Source organism: Homo sapiens, chromosome 10, assembly GCF_000001405.40.
Source record: "Homo sapiens chromosome 10, GRCh38.p14 Primary Assembly".
In the NCBI taxonomy this organism is placed as follows: domain Eukaryota; kingdom Metazoa; phylum Chordata; class Mammalia; order Primates; family Hominidae; genus Homo; species Homo sapiens.
The window spans coordinates 35973576-35978859 of NC_000010.11; the positions used below are offsets into that span (position 1 = coordinate 35973576).

A 5284-nucleotide genomic window follows, 5' to 3' on the forward strand; every position below is an offset into this window, starting at 1 on the left:
AGAAGCCCCCTTGACTCAGCATCTGATGCCTTAAACACTATCCCTCAGAGGTTCCAGGACTAAAGAATTCACAGACCACATGCTCTAGTGTTGATGGTTCCTATTGTTAGTCTATCTTTATCATTTATAAGTTAATCTAATACATCAATGGGGACAATTTCCCATACAAATAATTGTCCTATTTAAAATTGAACTCGATTGCATTAATCTACAGTTTCACTAGATCTCTCCATGACACATGCAGTTTTTTAGAAGTCATGGTGATTTACAAGTAGAAGATTCTGCATTTGATGGGCCAGGGTTTCCTGGAGTTCTAATCCAAGCCCTATTCACTATAGATCAAGCCACTGTACCTCCTTTTCCAGAAGGGTAGGAAACCCAAACTCAGTCTGATGCGGTTATACTTAAGTAAACAAACACACAACTTACCTAGAGGCCCAGAACAAATAACAAACAATCGGGGAAGAGGGCATGACCTCTCAGGTAGATTACCTCCTCATTGTCATTTCTATTAGGGTAGAATGGCTGATTTAACAGAAGGTCTGTCTCCACTGGGGACTCCCTGGTTGTGCTGATGTTTGCTGTAGTTACCAGCCTAATGGCTGCTTTGTAAGTTGTTTGGATTTGCTAATAATTCCTAATGAGGATAATTAAGCAAACAAAGCAATGGGTAGAGAATAGGGTGTGTAAATACGGATACATTTAATGATGCACTGACTGATGATTTCTGTTCCTTGGTTGTTAACTGTGAGAATCTACCCCAAAGATGCTTGAGGTGTGAGCAGACACAGGGCGCTGCCACAGTTGCTTTTTCTGGATCTCTGTACTATCCTCCCCTCCCTTAACACCCCTTCCACTCTCCTTTACTTCTTTCTTTCTCCTTCCCTCCCACCTCACTCCCTCCTGCCCTTCCTCTTCCTCCCTGTGAGAGGACGAGTTAGGTCAGGTCAATACATTGGCAGGGGTTTTAGGGAAAGGGTGGTTATTCTCCATGAATCTAACCAATTAGGCTTCTTGCATGGATGGAGAGTTTTAGGGGGTTGGTGGGTTAGAAAGCAGTGTGACTTGGCAACTGCCAAGGGACTGGGGGACAAAACCGCTGAGAGGACTGCTGGTCTGGCTGGCAAAGGCAGTGGAGTTGGGAGTCAAATATGGCGAGGTGACAGGACAGGTCTGTGATAGACACCCCCCCAGCAGAAGCAACTGGACCCAGGTGAATGGAGGCTGTTCTTTGGAAGCGATGAAATGGAACTTTGGCAAAATGAAATGATTTCAATTTCAAGAACTTCACAGGGGAGTTTGGAAGGAAGCTCCTGTGATTAAGTGTGGGTTTGGGAAAGAATAGAGCAGAGTCCAGTCTGCGAAAAGAGCCACTGCAGTGCCTTAGGGCACTTCTACAAACATGAACCAAAAGGACACAGGAGTGCTGCCCAGACAGCAGGGGACACGTCTGGTCATGTGGGTTACCTGAGCTTGTGTGTATGTGGGTCACAGTCATCTGTATTTAACATAGTGTAAATTAACACAGAGAAAAATGTGAAGGATCAGAATTTATAAGCACGTGTTCCATTAGTCAAAGGAGAAACGATATCATCATACACCGTGGAGCTTCTGAAAAACTCCTCTGTACCCCGGTGAGAGGATGAAGGTGTGTGAGACAAGGCAAATAATGTCTTAGGATGATTACAAAAATTGTTTTGACTTTGTACACTCCTTAGAAAAATCTAGCTATCCCTGTAGGTCCCCATACTATGCTTTGAGAATTATTCTCAGGAAAGAGAGGATGAGTGTAGATTTCCATATAAGATGAGAGATGAAGAAAATAAGAACCATTGTCTATTGTGTAGAAGCTCAATTATAATTTCATTCTTGCACCAGATGAGCCTTGAAAACAGAAACCACCACTAGCCTGTTTCTTAGCCCCTGTCACTCACCATCTCCCTTGCTCTAGGTGTCTGGGGTTCTGTCTGTGTCTGTCTCTGTCTTTCTCTTCCTCTGCGTTGCTTTTCCCTTTTTTTCACTTCCTCTCCCTCTTTGACTCTCTCTCCTCTTACCCTCTCCTCTTTTTTTCTCCTCTCGGCTTCTTCAGCTCTCTCACTGAATGTCTGTATCTCTGTATTTTTTCTTTCTCCGAAAGTAACCAGTATCCCCCTTTCACTCTCAGTATTGTTCATTTGCCCCTTCCCGTATGTTTTCTTGATATATCTTGCCAAAGTTGACAACTGTGCTTGTCTTTTCAACAAATCAGTTTTTGGCCATTAAAAATATTATTTGCTATGACATTAATTTCTCCCCCTTATGCTTCTCTTTCTTCTATGTTCTTTGGATGTATTCCAACAGTCCTTTTCTCCCCCTAAATTTTTAAGTACTATGCTTAGCTTATTTTTAGTCCTTTTCAAATGTATGTGTGTAAGGCTGTAACCCTCCAGGTATAATTTTATTCTTTTAAAATTTTCATTTAAACTTTAGACTCAGGGGGTATATGTGCAGGTTTGCTGCAAAGGCATATTGCATGATGCTGAGGTTTGGGCTTCTATTGAATCCATCGCCCAAGTAGTGAGCCTAGTACCCAATAGAAAGTTCTTCAGTCCTTGCCGTTCTCTCCCACTCACCATTCTTGCAGTCCCCAGTGTTTATTGCCTTCATCTTTATGTCTGTGTGTACTCAAGATTTAGCTCCTACTTATAGGTGAAAATATGTGTTATTTGGTTTTCTGTTACTGTGTTAATTTGCTTAGGATAACGGTCTCCAGCTGCATCTATGTTGCTGCAAAGGAAAGGATTTCATTCTATTTTATGGCTGCATAGTATTCCATGGTATATATGTACCACATTTTCTTTATCCAGTCCACCATGGATGGGCACCTGGGTAGATTCCATGTCTCTGCTATTGTGAATAGGGCTGTGATAAACACAAGAGTGCAGGTATCTTTTTGGTAGAACGATTTATTTTTGTTTGGGTATAAATATAATTTTAAATGCATCTCACAGCTTTGATAAATAGTATTTTTAATCGTCATTCAGTTTTAAGTATTTATATTTTTATTTCTTATTTGACCCATGAAATATTCTCTTGTGTTTTAAAATTTCTAAATATATATGTGTGTATGTATAAATTTTTATGTTATATTTTTGATAATGAGTTTTATCCTAATCATGTTCCAGGCAGATCGAAAATGCAATCTGTATGATACCAATTCTTTGAAATTTGAGACTTTATTATGGTTTATTACAGACTCAACTTTCATAAATGTTTCATAGCTGCTTGAAAAGAATATATACTCTTTATTTATTGAGTGTACTTGTCATGTACATATACATGAACTCAAACTTATTAATTTTGTTAATTATTTTTTGTTGTTCTTTATCTTTTCTGATTTTTTCTTGCTTGATTTATCAAGTCCTAAGAGGGATATCCTGAAACTTCTCATGTGATAGAGGATTTCTCTACATTCTCATAATTTTTGCTTTATATATTGTGAATGTTATTATGTGTATAGAAGTTTAGGCTTTTTATATATTTCTGGTGAGTTGAAACTTTGGTAAGCATAAAATGACTTTTATCAAATGACTTGGACCCACCTGAGGGTATTCTCTTTAAGGACTCCTGGCTATTTGAAAAATTCCTGACCTAGCCTCATATTATTCTTAGAGATCCAAGCATGTTTCATGTTTTCAGAGAAGTTGTGGCGTATTTAAACATAGATCCCAGGGCTTCAGAGATTAACAGATGTCCTAATGAAAGCTTCAGTCTTCAGACCTTATCCATTTCTCTAAATTCATGCTTGCTTTGTTTGCTTTTTCTTTTTCTGTTTCCCCCCCAACTCCTCTGTCTGGCTTCAGATGATTCTCTTACTTCCTGTGTATTTGAAAAGTTTAAAAAATCATTCCTTGACTATTTTATCCATCATCTATGTGTCCTTTATTGGAGGATTTCTCCATCCAAACATGTATCATGGTGTTTTTCCAGGAATGGAAGTTCCATTCTCAATTCTTCACACATATATTGTGTGTGTCTGTGACTCACCCTAATTCCTTTACTTTATCCTTTCTTTTATTTAAACTACTATTACCAAGGCAATACTTTCTTTTGTTTTACTGATTATAAAGTAATTCATATATATGGTAGAAAGTTTGAAAACCAATGCAAAGTATTGTGGAGAAAAAATTACTTGTAATAATCAGTTAGAATCAAATAGCATTTTTGGTGGCCAGGTTTATTGAGATATAATTTGTATATCTCAACTTATATAAAATTTACCTCTTTTAACTGTACAAATACATGACTTTTGACAGATATTTATTGCAATGTAATCACCACCACAATCATGATCTAGAACATTTCAGACATGTCAGGAAGTTCTTTTATACCCTTTTGCAGTTAATTCTCTCCCTGCAACTCCTGACCCTTGAAAACCACTGATACACCATTGATATAGTTTTGTCTGTTCTAGAATTTTACAAATGTAGAATCATATAGTATGAGATCTTCTGTGTTTGTCTTCCTTCACTTACCATAATGCTTTTGAGAGTCAATGCTGTTTCATTTATTTGGAGTCTCATCTTCATTTTAAATTCTGAGTAGTATTGCATTGTATGGATATTTAAAAATTGTTTATCCATTTACCATTTGGTAGAAAATTGGATTGTTTCCAGCTTTTGACCATTGTGAGTAAAAAAACTAGTGTGAAAATTCATGTATTCTACAAGTCTTCTTTGGACACAAACCTTTATTTCACTTGGGTAAATACTTAGGATTGGAATTGCTCAGACATACGGTAAGTTTGTTTTTAACTTTACATGAAACTGCCAACTTTTTTCCAATGTAGTTGCACCATTTTGGATTTCCACTAGCACCAACACTTGGTATTGCAGTTGTCCCTTGGTATCCACAAGGGATTGGTTCCAAGACCCCTCTGCATTCCAAAATAAATACTTGTTCAAATCCTGCAGTGGGCCCCATGGAACCAGCAGATACAAACATTCAGCCTCCCATATACACAAGTTTTGCATCCCACGATACGGTATTTTTAAGCCATGTTTAGTTGAAAAAAATCCACATGTAAATGGACCTGTGCAATTTAAACCTGTGTTATTCAAGGGTTAGTTGTATTTTTAAATTTCAGCCATTCTACTGTATGTATATTGGTGTCTTACTTTAGTTTTTAAATTTCCATTCTCAACGAATAATAATTTAGAGCATGGTTTTCATATGGTTATTTGGCATATGCATATTGTTTTTGGTAAAGTATCCACATCTTTTGCCCATTAAAAATGAGTTGTCT

General features: G+C 37.5%; 1 annotated feature.

The window, feature by feature from the left end:
• Positions 431 to 933: an enhancer, noted in NCBI's record as "OCT4-NANOG hESC enhancer chr10:36262934-36263436 (GRCh37/hg19 assembly coordinates)". NCBI's record gives its function as "activates a minimal SCP1, AML or CMV promoter by ChIP-STARR-seq in primed H9 embryonic stem cells {active_cell/tissue: H9 hESC(primed)}" and the evidence as "EXISTENCE:reporter gene assay evidence [ECO:0000049][PMID:30033119]".